At 41.1% G+C, this 19283-nt stretch overlaps 1 long non-coding RNA gene across 4 annotated transcripts in view, besides 2 other annotated features; it reads right to left on the reverse strand.

The window, feature by feature from the left end:
- The window catches only part of LOC105372926 (uncharacterized), a 198874-nt gene that overhangs the window by 86502 nt on the left and 93089 nt on the right, over positions 1-19283 (reverse strand). For 3 of the 4 annotated variants that reach the window (XR_001738475.1, XR_001738474.1, XR_922612.2), the window contains one exon: positions 17987-18522. This is a non-coding gene — a long non-coding RNA (uncharacterized LOC105372926). Of the gene's footprint in view, positions 1-17986; positions 18523-19283 lie in introns of those variants that run through there. The other variant, XR_001738473.2, reaches the window with a different exon arrangement.
- Positions 152-321: an enhancer, noted in NCBI's record as "experimental_4814 CRE fragment used in MPRA reporter constructs". NCBI's record gives its function as "activates a minimal promoter by MPRAs in K562 erythroleukemia cells, with activity observed for both the introgressed and non-introgressed 1:219945505 variant alleles {active_cell/tissue: K562}" and the evidence as "EXISTENCE:reporter gene assay evidence [ECO:0000049][PMID:34662402]".
- Positions 2030-2089: an enhancer, noted in NCBI's record as "active region_2549". NCBI's record gives its function as "activates an Ori minimal core promoter by ATAC-STARR-seq in GM12878 lymphoblastoid cells {active_cell/tissue: GM12878}" and the evidence as "EXISTENCE:reporter gene assay evidence [ECO:0000049][PMID:35858748]".

Raw genomic sequence — 19283 nt, forward strand, 5'->3', positions numbered from 1 at the left:
CGCCCACCTCGGCCTCCCAAACTGCTGGGATTACAGGCATGAGCCACCGCGCCCGGCCTCCCAATCCTCTTTTTGTCCTCAGTAGCAAATATGAAGCTGTTACATACAGATACTGAATAAAGGTTAAGTAAAATCCTTCACTCATTCAACAAATATTTATTACTCTAAGCTTGGTGCTAGTATATCAGACCTAAAATTTAGAGTGCCACCTTAACATCTTTGAGCCGAGATGTTAAGGTGGCCCTTTAAATTTTAGGTCTGAGCCAGGTCCCAAAAGGCCTACCCATGAGTTCTCTTGCTCTCACCAGATATACCCAACCCAGCAGGAAACAGACCCCATTCTGCTAGTTTCCCACCAGCCCAATCATCTTAACCCCATTCAGTTTTCAACTTAGTGGATTTTATCTCCCTAACAGCACATGAAATTATTCAAACAAGCCAATCACATCCTCGCTTGGTAACCAGGGGTCACCTCACCCTGTTGATACTACAAAGCCTGCCTCCCACAGTCCCTGCCAGCTCATTCTTCCTGAGTGCAACCCCATTGGCCCTGCATGGCAGGCAGTGTCCTCTACCTCCAGAGTGAATAGATGTGACTATTAAACTGCTGTCACCCTTATCTGCCCAGTGTCAAGTGTCTCGTGCATGACTATCTCACACTATGTGGAGGGGGATCCCTCCTTTACCACTGGGATAAATAGGATGTAATCAGAACAGTTAGATGCCGGGAATCAGCTATAATCACGTTAAGTGGGCCCCTCCCCACTAAAATCTGAGGTTCCTGTTCCAACCAGATGACAAATTTACTGACTCCCTCTCTTGAAATGAACCCTGAATTCCTAAGAGGGAAGCTATCAATATGGGAGAGGAAAGAGAATAAGCCTTTAAAGAGAAAGGGCTATGGGGAGGGGCAAGGTCTGGTAGGGGTAGCTCTAGCCTGGGCAGGAGGCATCTAGGCAGTGTTGTAGGCTCTGAGAATAGAATAAGGAATAAGGCAGAATTCCTGCCTTCAAGGTAACCATGTTCTAAGAAAGGGAAAACAAATTACAATAGCAAATGAATAAATAACATAATTTTCAGCACCACAAAGATAAAAGAGGGTAATGCACTAGAGCAGAAATTAGCAAACCATAGCCTCTGGGTCAAATCCAGCCCACTGCCTATTTTGGTGCAGCTCACAAAGTAACATTTTAAATGATTGAAAAAAAATCAAAAGATTAATACTTCATGACATGTACAAAATTCAAGTCTCAGTATCTGTAAATAAAATTGTATTGGAATATAGCCATACTCACCCATGTAGGAATTATCTACAGCTGCTTTCACACTACAGTGACAAAGTTAGGTTGTTGTGACAGGTCCTGGATGAACTGAGAAGTCATAAGTATTTACTATCTGACTCTGTGAAGAAAAGGTTTGCTTACTTCTGTCCTAGAGAGTCACAGGGGTGGGAATGGGAAGCAGAAGGCTGGCAAGGGCTGCCTGCTCCAAAGAAGTGACTCGAATTGAAAGCTGAACAATGACAAAAAGGAAGCCAAGTGGAGGCCTGGAGGGAAAATCTTCCAAGCAAATCAGCAAATACAAAGATGTCAATGCGGGAACAAGGTCGGTGAGTTCATTCATTCCACAAGTCATCTTTGAGACCAACTCTATGCCAAGCACTGTTGCAGCTATTGAGGATAAAGCAGAGACTAGGTAGAAGTTGAGTATCCCATAGACAAAATGTTTGGGACTAGAAGTATTTTGGATTTCAATTTTTGGAGGACATTAGAATACATGCATTATATCTGAAATACTCCAATGAGCATTTCCTTTGAGCATCATATCAGTGCTCAAAAACATCACATTTTAAAGCATTTCAGATTTTTGATTTTCTGACTGGGATGTCCAATCCCTGCAAAGATTCGTCTAAGAAGAAAAATCACCAATCATGTGGGAGGAAAATCGGAAGAGTGTGGTACCCACGAAGACCAGATAAGAAAGTGTTTTAAAAGGAAAGTGAAACACCACAGTGTGTGTGACTGGTAGGCAAAGTAGGGAAAAAACATAATCAAATAGATGTGGTCAGATGGAGTCTCTAGGGACCTTAACAAGTGTCACAAGTGGTGGTAAATAGAATCTGTTTAGAATAAATGGAGAATAGAAAAGGACATGAGAAAGTGAAGATAACAAGTACATAGACAATGGTTTTAGCAGGTCTCTTAAAAGTAGCAAAGACTTGCAGCAGTAATTAGAGAAGAGTGCTGGGGAAAGGGCAGGTTTTAAAAGATGAATCTTATTAGAACTAGCTCATGTGCTGATTGGAATGATGCAGAAGAGGAGGAAAACTGGTAGTGGAAACAAGGAAATGGTAAATAAGGAGCCAAGTCCTGTAGAAGGCAAGAAGCAATGTGATCCAGGAGAGAAATAAAGGGAATATTACCTCTGGTGAAAAGGCCCATTGTTAGGTGATGATCTGTATCATCATCTAGATACACATGCAAGTACATGGGGCATACTTATGGACCTAACTCTCATCTTGTTCTTTCCATATTCTCTGGGAAGTATGAGATGAGGCAACCAACTCACAGCAAGAATGAGAAAGTGAACTGACTAGGGATGTTTGTAGGATAATCAGGCAGGGTGGAGTATCCAATTGAGATTTGTCATCATTACGCATTATGAGTATCTCCAATAACATGATTCAGGAAGAATGCCATCAGACCCTTGTGATTCTAAGTCCTGTGCCCTACACCATGAGATATGGTTTGGCTCTGTGTCCCCACCCAAATCCCATCTTGAATTGTAGTTCCCATAATCCCCACGTGTCATAGGAGGGACCCAGTGGGAGGTAATTTAATCATGGGGGCAGTTACCCTCTGTTCTCTTGATAGTGAGTGACTTCTTTTGAGATCTGATGGTTTTATAAGGGGCTTTTCCCCCTTTTGTTCTGCACTTCTCCTTGCTGCCACCATTTTTTTTTTAATTATACTTTAAGTTTCAGAGTACATGTGCACAATGTGCAGGTTAGTTACATATGTATACATGTGCCACGCTGGTGTGCTGCACCCATTAACTCGTCATTTAGCATTAGGTATATCTCCTAATGCTATCCCTCCCCCCTCCCCCCACCCCATGACAGTCCACAGAGTGTGATGTTCCCCTTCCTCTGTCCATGTGTTCTCATTGTTCAATTCCCATCTATGAGTGAGAACATGCGGTGTTTGGTTTTTTGTTCTTGCGATAGTTTACTGAGAATGATGATTTCCAATTTCATCCATGTCCCTACAAAGGACATGAACTCATCATTTTTTATGGCTGCATAATATTCCATGGTGTATATGTGCCACATTTTCTTAATCCAGTCTATCATTGTTGGACATTTGGGTTGGTTCCAAGTCTTTGCTATTGTGAATAGTGCCGCAATAAACATACGTGTGCATGTGTCTTTATAGCAGCATGATTTACAGCCCTTTGGGTACATACCCAGTAATGGGATGGCTGGGTCAATTGGTATTTCTAGTTCTAGATCCCTGAGGAATCGCCACACTGACTTTCACAATGGTTGAACTAGTTTACAGTCCCACCAACAGTGCAAAAGTGTTCCTATTTCTCCACATCCCCTCCAGCAGCTGTTGTTTCCTGACTTTGTAATGATTGCCATTCTAACTGGTGTGAGATGGTATCTCATTGTGGTTTTTTGATTTGCATTTCTCTGATGGCCAGTGATGGTGAGCATTTTTTCATGTGTCTTTTGGCTGCATAAATGTCTTCTTTTGAGAAGTGTCTGTTCATATCCTTTGCCCACTTTTTGATGGGATTGTTTGTTTTTTTCTTGTAAATTTGTTTGAGTTCATTGTAGATTCTGGATATTAGCCCTTTGTCAGATGAGTAGGTTGTGAAAATTTTCTCCCATTTTGTAGGTTGCCTGTTCACTCTGATGGTAGTTTCTTTTGCTGTGCAGAAGCTCTTTAGTTTAATTAGATCCCATTTGTCAATTTTGGCTTTTGTTGCCATTGCTTTTGGTGTTTTAGACATGAAGTCCTTGCTCATGCCTATGTCCTGAATGGTAATGCCTAGGTTTTCTTCTAGGGTTTTTACGGTTTTAGGTCTAACGTTTAAGTCTTTAATCCATCTTGAAATAATTTTTGTATAAGGTGTAAGGAAGGGATCCAGTTTCAGCTTTCTACATATGGCTAGCCAGTTTTCCCAGCACCATTTGTTAAATAGGGAATCCTTTCCCCATTGCTTGTTTTTCTCAGGTTTGTCAAAGATCAGATAGTTGTAGATATGCGGTGTTATTTCTGAGGGCTCTGTTCTGTTCCATTGATCTATATCTCTGTTTTGGTACCAGTACCATGCTGTTTTGGTTACTGTAGCCTTGTAGTATAGTTTGAAGTCACGTAGCGTGATGCCTCCAGCTTTGTTCTTTTGGCTTAGGATTGACTTGGTGATGCAGGCTCTTTTTTGGTTCCATATGAACTTTAAAGTAGTTTTTTCCAATTCTGTGAAGAAGGTCATTGGTAGCTTGATGGGGATGGCATTGAATCTATAAATTACCTTGGGCAGTATGGCCATTTTCACAATATTGATTCTTCCTACCCATGAGCATGGAATGTTCTTCCATTTGTTTGTATCCTCTTTTATTTCCTTGAGCAGTGGTTTGTAGTTCTCCTTGAAGAGGTCCTTCACGTCCCTTGTAAGTTGGATTCCTAAGTATTTTATTCTCTTTGAAGCAATTGTGAATGGGAATTCACTCATGATTTGGCTCTCTGTTTGTCTGTTATTGGTGTATAAGAATGCTTGTGATTTGATGCAAAAATCCTCAATAAAATACTAGCAAACCGAATCCAGCAGCACATCAAAAAGCTTATCCACCATGATCAAGTGGGCTTCATCCCTGGGATGCAAGGCTGGTTCAATATACGCAAATCAATAAATCTAATGCAGCATATAAACAGAACCAAAGACAAAAACCACATGATTATCTCAATAGATGCAGAAAAGGCCTTTGACAAAATTCAACAACCTTCATGCTAAAAACTCTCAATAAATTAGGTAGTGATGGGATGTAGCTCAAAATAATAAGAGCTATCTATGACAAACCCACAGCCTATATCATACTGAATGGGCAAAAACTGGAAGCATTCCCTTTGAAAACTGGCACAAGACAGGGATGCCCTCTCTCACCACTCCTGTTCAACATAGTGTTGGAAGTTCTGGCCAGGGCAATTAGGCAGGAGAAGGAAATAAAGGGTATTCAATTAGGAAAAGAGGAAGTCAAATTGTCCCTGTTTGCAGACAACATGATTGTATATCTAGAAAACCCCATTGTCTCAGCCCAAAATCTCCTGAAGCTGATAAGCAACTTCAGCAAAGTCTCAGGATACAAAATCAATGTGCTGCCACCATTTAAAGAAGGACATGTTTGCTTCCCCTTCAGCCATGATTGTAAGTTTCCCAAGGTCTCCCCAGCCCTGTGGAACTGTGAGTCAATTAAGCCTCTTTCCTTTGTAAATTACCGAGTCTCAGGTATTTCTTCATAGCAGCACGAGAATGGACTAATACACTATGCATATGAAATCCGAAAGAAGTTATCTTTCTGGAGCTTATAAAGAGCTAGAGAAAGCAAAACAAATGCACCAATTAGACATAAACCTAGAGATGTATAAAATAGATGTTATCATCCAAATCTCTTCACTCATGATATCTTTATTAGTCATCAAATGTGGAAATAGTGCAATTAACAAAATGGACAGAGTTTAAAAAATTTATATTTGGCTTGATGATTTATACTTTTATTATTATCACAATAATTTTTGTTATTGATATTGAATTGGAATTCAATCAAATGTCAAAGAGGAGGCAGGCCAGAAGTATTAAAGTAGAAAATTAAAAGAAAGCCTTGTAAAAAGGAATGAAGTACTACTATATGTGAGAAAATGAATGAACTTTGAAAAAAAAAAACAACACAAAAGTCTACATATTGTATGAACATTTTAATGAAATTTTCATATGAAATACTTATATGGTATGTATATTTATATGAAGTCTAGAATAGGTGAATCCATTCAGACAGAAAGTAGATTAGGGAATGTGAGGGAAGAGAGGATTGGGACTGACTGTAATACGTACAGCATTTCTTTTTGGGATGATAGAAATGCTCTGGAATTAGACAGTGGTAGTGTATATAGTACATAGTGAATACACTAGAAAACACTGAATTCCACATGCCCCACAATACAGTAAATATACTAAAAACCAAAAAAAAAAAAAAAGGCTTGGCTTTTAATTTTATAGCAAGTAATCTTAAAAAGGAACTGACGATGTGTGTTCTGTCTCTTAGATTAGGGGTGAGCAAACTCTTTCTGTAAAGGTCCAGATAGTAAATCCTTTAGGCTTGGCAGGTCATACAGTCTCTGTTGCAACTACTCATCTCTGCCATTGTAGTGTGAAAGCAGTCTTAGATAATACATAAATGAATGAGAATGGCTGTGTTCTGATAAAACATCTTTTATGGATGCTGAAATTTGAATTTCATGTAATTTTCGTATGTCATGATACGTTAGTCTTCTTTTTATTGTTGTTCAAGAATTTAAAAATGTAAAAACCACTCTCAGCCTGCAGGCCATTAAAAAAAAAAAAACAGTGGCAGGCTGTATTTGGCCCACGAACTGTAATTTGTTAACCACCCTCCCAGACCATAGTTAGCCACTTGGAGCTGGAGGGGAAATGAGCAGCCAAATGAGAACAAGCATGTTCAATTCACATCAGCTCAACAATCATTGAGTACGTGATATGGACACAGGCACTATGCCCCAGGATTCTAAGTTATTCAGAGATCAAGTGAATTTACTGAGTAAAAATTGAAAAGATGCCTCAACTAGATCCCCATGTGGCTTATAAAATGATCTCACATTTGCATCAGTCAAGTATATGCTATTAAATTCCCCCACCCATGAAAGTTACCAGCTTCACAATATAGAGTATGTTTCAAAGGCGAAGGAAAATAACTCACAGTGTCTGTTCCGTGCAGTATTTTTAAACATCCATAACTTTGTTATTTCAAAACCAAATTTCTTCAAACAAGGCAAAGCACACATTCCTCACTCAGGGTTATGTACCAGGAATGCCAAGTTTAAAATTTCCAAACAAAGTTGCTTTTGAGAAATTCAAACGCAAAAAAGCATTTGAAAAATTTCTGAACTGCTAAAAAAAAGTAGCATTTTTTCACCTTTAGATAACCCTTAAATGAGTAAATGGACTTACATTTGGTTTCCAAAATAAATCCATTTGGGGCCCAAACTGAGAAAGAGAACCACAGAAAGCCTCCATGGATTCCATTAATTGCTATCGATGCCAGGAACTTGAGAGAGAGAAAAAAACTGGGAATCAGAAAACTTGGGTTTCTAACTCTCAGTTGGCTGTAACCCATTCTCAGGTTTATAAATGGTCTGCACACAGATACCTAGTAGGATACAGGTATGTCACCAGGCTAACTTCTTTGCTGCTGCAACATCCTCATTAACCTGGAATGAAAAGTCAGAGCCCAGGCAAAGTGAGGAGCTTCCACCTAAGGGGACATCAGAGTGAGAAGGTCCAGACAGGAGAGGGGGCCTGGTTGTTGGAGTCCAGGCACAATGAGGAGGGTCCCCACCTGAGGGGAGTAGCCAGTGTGGGAGGAGGGCTCTGACGTGAGGGAGGGGACAGCAGTGACAATGAAAGTTTAGTTACACAGGGTAAGGGAGTAAAGGGGAAGCTTATGGAATAAGTTTGGATATGAGGACCAACTTTCTCAATGGAGAGAAAGGATTTGTAAATAGGAAAAAAAAAGAGAGAGAGAAAACCAGAATATACCGTATGATTTTGAATTTGAATTTGAATTGGAGGCATCAATGTGAGTTCACGGTTTTTAATGTACATAATAGATAAAGATAGATACAAGTATAGATGTAAATCTGTATGTCTGTGTACGTGTGCATACATGCCTCTATCCTACAGCTCTGTCCCCCGAAAGAGCATGGAAGCAGCAACATCCCAATAGCAAATAACACACCAAGCACCCCAATCTTCACTTCTAAATACCGTTCTCCACTATAAACAATCAGGGCTCCTTGGAGAAAGGACTGGACCCATGGCCAGAGCTGGAGCAAGAAAAGTATAAGATGATTCTGGAGCAAGGAAGTGCTCGAAGAATGCAGGGCCATGACAAAAAGACATAGAAGCCAGATTGAAAGGTTCCCAATGGCCAAATCAAATCTGGGATAATTTGAGCATCGAGTAAATAACGACAGCAATAATGATAACTCATTGAATACCATGAGTATTCGATGGAAACCATGACCTTTAAAATCTGAAGTTGCATATGAATCACTTAGTAGACTAGAAATTGTAGCCATGAGTCTGTTTAGATATTAATTAAACAGAAATCATAAATCTCCTTACATATTAATTAATTAAAAGTCTGATAAGAAATGGGAAGTTTACATCATTTCAAAGTAACTCTCTACAATGTATTTATTAATTACAAAGGGGAAAATAACCATACAGTGAGGAAGTCTAGCAGACACCACTTTAATCAAGCTATCAAAACTACTATTGTCAATAAAGGACAAATTGAAATTGTGCACCACCTAATAGATTGCAATAGCAAGAACGAATAGTCTCCCTCGTTTCAGTACACAGAATGATGGCACTCCCTCATTTTCTTGAAGTTAGGCATGACCCTATGACTTGCTTTGGCCAATGAAATGTGAGCAGAAGTGATGCAAACCATTTCCAGACAGAAGATTTAAGAGCCAGTGTGTGATTCACTACTTCTCTCTCTTTCTTTTTTTAACCATGTCCCAATGGATGCGTATGTCAGGATGGAACGTATATTTATAGGCTTCAGTCCAGGGACTACAATGAAAACAGACCCCCACTCAATCCTGTCCGTTTTAGATGTGTAGCACGAGAGAAAAATAAATCTTTGCTGTGTCAAGCTGCTATTCTGATGGTTGTTAGTTTGCACATCAAAGTTTAGCTTATCCTGACTGGTACGTTGGCTGATGGAATGATTTTATTTGCATACTTGTCTCCTCAATAAAGTACAAACTGCATCAAGGACAAGAATAATACAATTTAATTTTTCTCCAAAAATCTGCTCCTCCTCCTGCATTGCCCAACGAAATAAATGGCAACAACATCCACCCGATACTTGAAGTCATGAAACCTGACAGTACACTTCTGTATCCTAGATCTTTCCCCTGTCCATGATCTGATCTTGTCCACTGTACTTTCTTAGTATCTCTAGAATGGCTCTATTTATTTCCAGCCTACTTCACTGTCTACATAAAGAACAGCATCTTCTTTCTGCCACCTGCCTCTGGGCAGTCTCCTTGCTTCTAGAATACCCTGTCGCAGCCATTCTCCACACTGACCTCAGAGCTGGTATTTCTAAAATGCAAATCTGATTGTGTCACTCCCCAGCTTTCAGCACTTCAAAGGCTCCCTATCACCTTCAGACTAAAGTCTCACCCCTTTGTTATGACTTATAGGGCACATTAGGACCTGGTCCACTCTGGAGGATAACTGCCATAAAGACAGAGATTTTTGTATATTTTGTCCATTGCTGTATTGCTGAGACCAGCACAGAGCCTGGTCCATTTTCAGCATTCCATAAATGGCTGTTAAGCCAGTGGTCCTTACTTATCTCCTGGCTCACTCATATAGTTCTTCCTCTTCCTCCCATGCTCTTCTCCAAGGAGCACTCAGGCTCCCTCTGGCTGGAATGCACTTCCTCCAGTTTTGCCTATGGCTGGCTTATCTCATCCTTCAAGTCTCAGCTCAAATGTCACCTCCTAACAGAAGCAGGTCTTCCTTACTTATCTGATCTAAAGTAGCCCCACCAGACCCAGTAGCTCTCTTCTCATGACCCCCTTTATAGCTTTCTTAGCATATCTCATCTATTTGCCTTTTTTAAAATTTGTTGCCTGTTTATTTTCCCCTTCTGGAATGTAAGCTCCTTGGGGGAATATCTGTCTGGTTTTTGCCTGACAACATAGTAGCCACCCAATAGATAAATGAATGAGTCCCTGCTGGTTCCAATACCCTCTTCCTTCATTTATAGGATGGACTATACTTTCTAGTCTAAGTGATCCACATGCAACTTCTGATTTTAGAGGTCATTATTGGCTCTTCTTACCTTACTATCCATTACCAGGTGATCAAGGTATGAATGAGATTTCATTATTAAACATTGATATAGGAGTTAAAAAGAAATTATTTCATCAGATAATAAGGGTACAGGAGTCCTTAGTAAGGTTTTCCTTTTAATGAAAAGAAGTCCCCAAATTATTTTCTTTTCTAACAAATAGGAGCCTCTAAAATCAAGCTGCAGACATAGAAACGCAGGCTAGAAGCTTGCACAGGTGATTGCTGGCAGTTGTGCCAACAGGAAAGAGGGGATAGACATGACCAACATGGTGGCTCCATCCTCCGTTCTCTTTGCCAACTAGGTGTGCAGTCAGGAGCAGACAGCATGGCCCAGGCCAGCAAAGACCCCATTTGCATAATAGGATTATGGCGGGGTGACCAGCTTCCCCACTTCCCCCTGCCCCCTACCCCACCCCCATGCTATGTAAATGTCACACCTGGTCCAACCAATCTTTGGGCCCTATGTAAATCAGACACCACCTCCTCGAGCTTGTCTATAAAATCCTGTGCAATCTGCTGTGGGCTGGAAGTCCCACTTGGGCACCCCTGTCTCTCCCAGGAGAGAAAGCTGTTCTCCTTTCTCTTTCTTTCGCTGATTAAACCTCTGCTGTTAACCTCACTTCACCTGTATCGGTGTCCTTGATTTCCTTGGCATGAGGCAATGAACCTTGGGTATTTACCCCAGACAACAGGGCCACTTCAATATCACTTTTAATTACCTTGAATTTTTTACTGATATGACTTTTCTCTTTTACCATACCCTTCTCCTAAAATACCAAATAAACTTTTACCCTAAGTACCACACAGTGTAATGAAATTAAAATGTCAACAACATGAAAAAGAAGCAGTATTTTAATAAACCATGACATGTTTTGCCAAAATTTTGAACTAACTGGGTAATTTTTAACAAATCCAAAATCAATTTAGAAGGGAGCTGGGAAGCAGTCTCTGTCCACACCCGTTGCTGGAGGCGGAGTAGGATGGCCTCATTGTCCTCACCCCACCCTGCCATGTTTGGATTTGACTCTTTTGATCACAAGGAACAGAGATTCACTCTAGTTGCCTCAGGAAACGAAAGTTTATTGTGAGAATCTGCATGGTAATAAAGAAAATGGGAATGTCATCCAGGAAGCTAGCCTTCAGTGCAATTAAAAACACACACACACACACACACACACACACACACAACCAGGCTCCCATGAGAAAAACTGAAATGGTTGTTCTTGGTGGCTCACGCCAGTAATCCCAACACTTTGGGAGCCTGCAGCAGGAGGATTCCTTGAGCCCAGGATATTGAGACTAGCCTGGGCAACATAGGGAGACTCTATCTCTACAAAAAACAATTAAAATTTAGCCAGGTGTGGGGTTGTGCACCTGTGTTCCAGCTACTCAGGAGGCTGAGGTGGGAGGATCTCTTGAGCCTAGGAAGTCGAGGCTGCAGTGAGCCGCAATACACTACTGCACTCCAGCTTGGGCAAAAGAGCAAGACCCTGTCTCAAAAATAAATAAATAATAAAGGATTCTTCTGAATCCAAACCAATTCAAGGGATTTCAGAAGAAAAGTTTCTGAATTCTCCTTCTAAGGCTCTCCCTTCACCACTCTGCCACCTTGCTACTCTGCTTTTCTGCTTCTCTTCGTGTTAGTCTACCTCTCTCCCACTACAAGTTACTGAATCACTCACTTCTCTCCCTTTCTTAGTAGCTTCTGCCTGTTTATTGGTTTAGCTTCCCCATAACCTTACTTTGCTCAGACACCTCATGACTTGCAACTCTACATGAGTCCACTTTCTGTATTTCTTCATCTTCAGTTCCCTTTTATTGCCAGAATTTTTCCTGCTTTCCAATTACACTTCCTAAGAGTGATGCTCTGACGAGGCAGCTCTTTCTGATTGGTCAGAGCATCTCAGTTGCTTAGGAACAGTAGCCTTCAGGCTAGTGCTTCCCTGTCTTTACTCAGCTGTGTCTGGGTGTATAGAGACACAAGGTGAGGACCACCCCAGCAGCAGGAGCTGAGATTGGGGCAGTATCCCTTAGAAGAAGGCAATGAACAGGCATGAATCATGGTTTACATGTTCAATAGTTAGCACTTAGCACTGATGCATTTGTTTAATGTTTTGACAAGTGTATTATGTTATAATTAGCTTCCTTTGTAATCTCATGTGCTTTATTGTATGCCTGTAAAATTGTTCTGAGAAGGCTTCCACAGGCTTCACCAAACTGCCAAAAAAGTCCATGGCACAAAATAAATTATTTCCTGCCCCACGCTCAGGTCTCCTTGAAGGCATGGATTGGGTCTCATTCTCTGCTGAGGCTTTAGGGTCCAGCACAATGCCTAGCATGGAATAGGCAAGAAAACATTGGTGGAAATAATGAATACTTAAATTCCTAGCATCTAAACTGTGACTGGCCCATGGAAGGCACTCAGTAGAAGTTTCTAAATGAAGAACTAAACTTCCGAAGCCCCCACTGGCTGGCCCACGGTCTCCCTCCTCAAGTCCCATTGAGTGGACTCTGCATTCCAGCAGACTGAAGCAAGGAGTCATTTATCAAGTAGGCTGGTACACTATCAACAACCAATTTTTACAACAATACAAAATCCTCTGTCGCTCATAAATTACTTCAAGATAAACACCAGGCCTTAAAATGAAGTGCTGCCAGATTAATGAACAGTTCCAGAATCTAATGAGCGGTTTCTAATGTCTGGAGGGCCTCCTTTATGGGGAGTTTGCCAGGACTGGGAATGGGCCTATGATTTAGCCATCCGTCTTCCAGGCCCTACACAGCACGTGTTTTCAAGCCAGCTGGTGGGAGTTAGTGAGGCAATCTGAGGACTTGGACAGATTGCTTTGTGTGCCGAGTTAACTGGCTCATATAGAGACTGAACCTGTGAGCCTGATTTCCTTAGCCCCATAGCTTAACCAGCTGAGCTTATCATCTTGACCACCTGAATGGATTCAGAGCGTCCCAGGAAAGGAACATAGTACAAAAGAGATGCACAGGAAGTCATGGTGATTCAAAACTCAGCAGAGAGAGAATGTTTGGATAACACCCTTAATACTTCACTTCCTGCCCACAAGAATGGCAAGGGCTTCAAAGTGACCACCTCCTTCCTTGCTCCACCCAAACCCTGACCCTTGATGTATGACAGCAAAGAGCGATGAAGGTCATGTCCCCAAGTATCTTGCAAGATTGCTGGCAGGGACACTAAGAAGAACTCATCCAGATTTTTTGTCACGATATTTTTTGCCACAATAGTTTGAGTTTTCTTTTGCCAACTTTACATGAGCTTTGCTTTTGATCCACCCCAAATATAGGAAGATCAGGGTTCACATCCTTCTCTCCCTCCCCAGGAAGGACCTTCCCGGCTGGCTGCAGGGACTGTCCAGGACTCTGATGTGCTCCCAGGGAGGGGAATTTATAGGGGGGTTAGCATGAATCAGAAACAGTACTGGGCATTTCACATCTGTTATCTAATTTGCAGAGATGAATGTTTAAAGACAGTCTGAAGCACCTTCCCTCTAACCTGCCTTCAGAGTTTGTTTTTAAAAGTTAAAGAATACTACCAAGCATCATACCCATTACACGAGTGCTCTATGTATATGTGTTGGACACATTGGAAAGTCAAAAGAATGAGTAATAGAATAAGACATAGGCTACGTAATTCTGACTAGGGATTGATTTATCAGGCTAATCCATTGTCACTCTTGTCATCCAAGAAAAATGTCCAATGGGATACTGTGATTTTAAGGTTTTATTTATTGATATATTTGTGCCAGGAATATACTTAAAACCACTGGAAACATAATAAATTTTCAGGTGGACAGGAGTAAATGAGAGTTGTGGGAACCATGCCACCAGCAAGATATCATCACATGCAGTGACAAGAGGGCACCAGGTAGGATGACCATAATTCCCAATCTGCCCAGAACTGCCCTGGCTTACTCATAGTGTCCCCTTTCATTCTCAAATGTGTCCCAGTTTGCATGTTCACAGGTCAGAAGACTCAATAGTGTCAAGATGGCAACTCTCTCCAAATTAATCTGTAGAATCAACAAAATGTCAGTCAAAATCCCAGCAGGTTTTTCTGTAGAAACTATCAAACTGACTCTAAAATTCATGACTATGTGAAGAACCAAGAAGACCTGAAGCAACTTTGAAAAGGAACAAAATTGGAAGACTGAAACTATCTTGGTTCAGATTTATTATAAACATAGTAATCAGCACAGTGTAGTATTGATGGAAACGAAACAAACCAAAATAATCAATGGAACAGAATGGAAAGTGCAGAAGCAGACCCATGCATATGTGGACAATTGACTTTTGACAAAAGTGTAAAAGCCATCTAGTAGAGAAATAATAATCTTTTCAACAAATGGTGCTGGGACTAGGTGCTGTGGCTCACACCTGTAATCCCAGTGCTTTGGGATGCCAAGGTGGGAGGATCACTTGATGCCAGGAGTTCAAAACCAGCCTAGGCAACACAGCAAGACCTCCCCTCTAAAAAAATATATATATATTCTTAATTAGTTGGGCATGGTGGCACCCACATGTAGTCCTAGCTATTTGGGAGGCTCAGGCAGGAGGATTGCTTGAGCCTGGGATTTCAAGGTTGCAGTGAACTATGATCATGCCCATGCTACTGCACTCCACCGTGGGTGACAGAGCAAGACCCTGTCTCTTAAAAAAAAAATAATGCTGGAACCATTGAATATTCATATGTAAAAAAATTAACTTTGATTTATGGCACCAAACTGTATGCAAAACTTTATTCAAAATGGATGGTAGACTTCAGGGTAAACCTAAAACCATAAAGCTTCTGGGAGAAAACCTTTCAATTAGCCATAAAAGAACAAATTAATAAATCAGATTTCACCAAAACTTTAAGATTTTGCTCTGTGAAAGGCTTGCTAAAGAATGAAAAGTGAAGCCACAGACTAAGAGAAAATATTTACAAAACATGTATCTGATAAGCAACATGTTATCTAGGACATATAAAGAACTCTCAAAACATAAGAAAACAAGCAGAGAAAAGAAAGGACTTGCCAAGGTTTTCGTATGAGTGAATAGCAAACCTGGGATCATCCTGCATCTCCTGACTCCCAAGCCCCAGCCCCATTCTCCCTGCCAGGAAGCCCTTTGTCAGAGTCAACGCGGAACATGGGTGGTGCAGTAAGAAATCACCCAAATCTTACTTTAAATCCTGGTGCCACCACTTACTGGCCTTTGGAGCACTTGTATGACTTCTTGGTTTTCTCATTGGAATATTGGGAAGGTAATTTTTTAAGTGCCCTTGTTTAGATGATAAATTATAAGGTCTCTTTACCATTATATGACCCTTGGGGTATAGCAGATCGCCAAAAAGGAGCAGAGGGCACTAAAAGGAGAGGTGGAGAACCACAAACGACATGCTTTACTCCTTCAGTACTGCACCCAGCCTGGACTCTGAGCCCTGTGTTGCAGTTACAAGCAGCCACAGCTACTTGTCAACCTGTCCAATTACACTTCTGGAATCCCAATAAGAAGTGCTTATAAATACAGGGCTCCAATTACCACAGGTATCATGTTGGCTGCCCAGGAAGTGCTTGCTTTAGAACACCTTTGGGAATCCCTCTCCCCAAGACTTCAGGTAGCCAATACTTTCACAGTAGGATCCAGACTTTATGTGCTTAAATGCATAGCATAGGAGAAAATCTTTCTGGCATCTCAGGGATTCTCCTTTCCCCTCGCTTGTATTCTTTCACTTCCTTCATTCCAGCTACCTAAGCAGTTCTCCAAGTGCAGATAGTGAAGGAAGAGGCCTCCCTAGGGTCCCCTCCCTAATCTGTATGAAGTTTTTTTGCCTCTCTCTCTCTCTCTCTCTCACACACACACACACACACACACACACACACCGATAACTATCTAGATAACCTTCTAACCTTCTCTTTCAGTTTGTTGTTTCCCCCATACACAGACCCAAAGACATGGATTCAAGTGCAAATAGTTAATTTTAGAGAGAACCCCAAGAAACACTGTTGGGGGAGTCAGGAAATGGGAAAATGAGACAGGGAAGGGGAGATAGCAATAAAGGTAGTTGCCACTGTGGATAATTGGAATTTAATCCAAATGACATCTCTGGGAGCCAGTGTAGAAAATGCATCTCAGGGCCATCTCACCAGAGCAGTGAGGGATCTGAGGTATTTATATACCAACTCCCTGAGTCATTGGTTGAGTCAATGCTGCCTTTGACAAGCTTAGTCCAGTTGGGAGCCAGAAATTTAAACAGCTTAAACTCCTCCGTGGATGCTATATGTCTTATTAAAATTTGAACCCCAGCATAACATAGCATAGTTCCCTGCTACTGAGAGCCTCTTATGTTGGAGCCAAAGCAATCTCTGGCTTATCAAGATGGACTTCAGGAAAACGGCAATTGGAAATTGACCAGTCTGCACTGAAGTGGCAAGAGTGAGCAGGGAACACCAAGTTACTTTTTCATGGAATTACAGCACCATTTAGCAAGCACTGAATAACATACTTAGTGTGGCATGCTCACCAAATACTCATAGGCTTACCTATATTTGATGACCGAAAGTCTGAACTGAAGAAACACAGATCATTTCCAAGTCAAAGCACTTATGAGTCTGTATGCAACCTTTGTACCCTCTCTTCGCATAATACAGCAACTCAAAAGCTGCATGTTCTAGATTGGGTATATACAGGACGCAATCAGACTAGATCCTTAAGTTGCCACTGGGAAAGAAGCTGACCTGGAAAGCTGCAGGACCCAGAGCCAACTTCGTGCAAAAGAGAAATAAACCTACGTATGCTCAGGTGCTGAGATTTTCAGATTTGTTTGTTACTGCAGCAAAGCTTAACCTAACCTGCCTCATATAGTTAGAACCTTTGTCCTGATTTCAATTTTATGTATTCATTCAACAAATAATTATTAAAAGCCCTGTATATTCTTGATGCTGAGGATACAGTGGTGAACAAAAGAATAAAAAGTTTCTGCCTCTATGGGATATAATATGTACTAATAGCAAGGCAGTCTTGCCAATAAGGGAAAGGTTTATTCCTCCTCATAGTAACTGTAAGAGACACAATGGTAAATAAGCAGCCCAGAGAGGGAAATGTTCTATTTTGATAGAAGGAAAATGGTCAGTTGTTATGTGTAAGCAAAGTTGTTAGAGAAAAGGAAAGAAAAATATCAATGCAAACTTCTTGTTGTACATCATTTCAATACTCGTTGAGTACCAATTATAGGCCAGGGTTTATGCTAGATGCCAGGGATTGGGAAGTAAAGAAGAATAATGCTATGCTAGAGAAGCTGAGTCTAGTGAGAGGAGAGAAATGTAAATCAAGCATAAATTATTTGACGACTTCTCTGTCTCTTAATTAACCTTTGAATCTCAGACTGTCACAGGATAGATGCCCAATAAGTATTTATAGAATATACTAATAACTGCACTATATTGTTTCCCTCAACCTCAGAAGAAAAGCTACATTAGAAAGGAAGAAATCAGACTGGACATGATGGCTCATGTCTGTAATCCCACCACTTTGGGAGGCCAAGGCCAGAGGATTGCTTGAGGCCAGGAGTTTGAGACCAGCCTGGGTAACATAGCGAGACCCTGTCTCTACAAAAAATTAAAAATTGTCCTGGTGTAGTGACATGCACCTGTGGTCCTAGTTACTGGGGAGCCTGAGGTTGAAGGATCACTTGAGCTCAAGTATGAAGTTATCATGAGCTATGATCACACCATTGCACCCCAGCGTGGAGAGCAGAGTGAGATCCCAATCAAAAAAAAAAAGTTAGCCCATACCCCTACACGCCTTCATACTCTCACCTACTCAGCCTTTGCAAATCAATGCCTAAGGAAGAGACTTCCTATATTACTCCCAGAGTGCATGGTACAGGGCTCAGCAATGAGCAGTCAACTGAAAGATTGAGCTCTGTGGAAGTACAAAGCCCTAACAGCTGTTGAGAGTTTAACTTGAATAATCCATAAGGTGGGATGTTAACCCTAGGGACCAAAATAAAGTCAACAACCTTCCACTTGAAGCATATCCAGTCTACATAGATCACTGCAAGTCCCTGAAGTCTGTGTCAAGGACTTGTGAACATTTCAAGAAACGTCAATACCTCTAGCACTGCCCCTATTTTAAAGAGAAGTAAAGGCAGTATATACATCCAGAAAATATCCAGAAAATAAGTCAAACCAGTGCATTTGTTAAGTCCTGGGGTCTCCTGTGGCCATATTCTCACCTCCAGTTCTGTTCTCAGTCTTCTCGATCCCTCTGTGCTGCTGGGACTCTCTTGGTTTCTCTAATAAGTAAGTAGATCTTTGGGAATGTCCTTGGCAGATTCTGCTTTGGAGAAATTAACAAACTAAATCAAACTGACAAAACATTTAACAACATAACTTAAAGCAAGGTTGTTCTTTCCCTAAGAACAGGGCACCCTCAGCCTCTTCAGGTTTCTAGGTAACATTAGAGGTTCAGAGAATCTCTAGCCTGCAAGCTACCATTTGTGGGGTCTATGGAGAAAATAGAGCACTGATTTCTATACCCAGCTGGACCCGCTTCTTCACCCAATTGGTCTTCAGTGTGTCCCCTCCTGCTCATCCCTCACTCCCTGGCCCCCACTGTTCCATGATAACTGATAAACTGCCAGTGTATTCATACTATTTAAAACAGAGAGTATCTAAAAAGATCACTACAACTTACCAGCCCCTTTTATCCTTGGGCAAATTCCTCTTACTTAGCTAACTGCTTTGTCTGGCCAGAAACAGCTTTGTGAAATATAATCCAAGGTACCATGAAGTTTTATAATCTCTTTCCATTAGATATACAGCCTACCCTATATCTAACCCCAACAGTTGGAAATGATATTAACTGACCTCTGATAAGTATCAGAAACCAGTTGCTTCTCACTACTAATCATCTATTTTTGGAACTGAATGCAAAGGAAACATATGCTCAGTCATGACTGTGACTCTTTAAAACAAAGTCTGTTCATCTTTCATCTTCCCGCATTGCTTGATGATTTTTTTTTTTTTTTTGCTCACCTACTCTGACCCATCACTTTAGCCCTGAAAATTTCAAAAAAAAACATGGGTGGGGGGATT

Source organism: Homo sapiens, chromosome 1 (assembly GCF_000001405.40).
Source record: "Homo sapiens chromosome 1, GRCh38.p14 Primary Assembly".
NCBI lineage: Eukaryota > Metazoa > Chordata > Mammalia > Primates > Hominidae > Homo > Homo sapiens.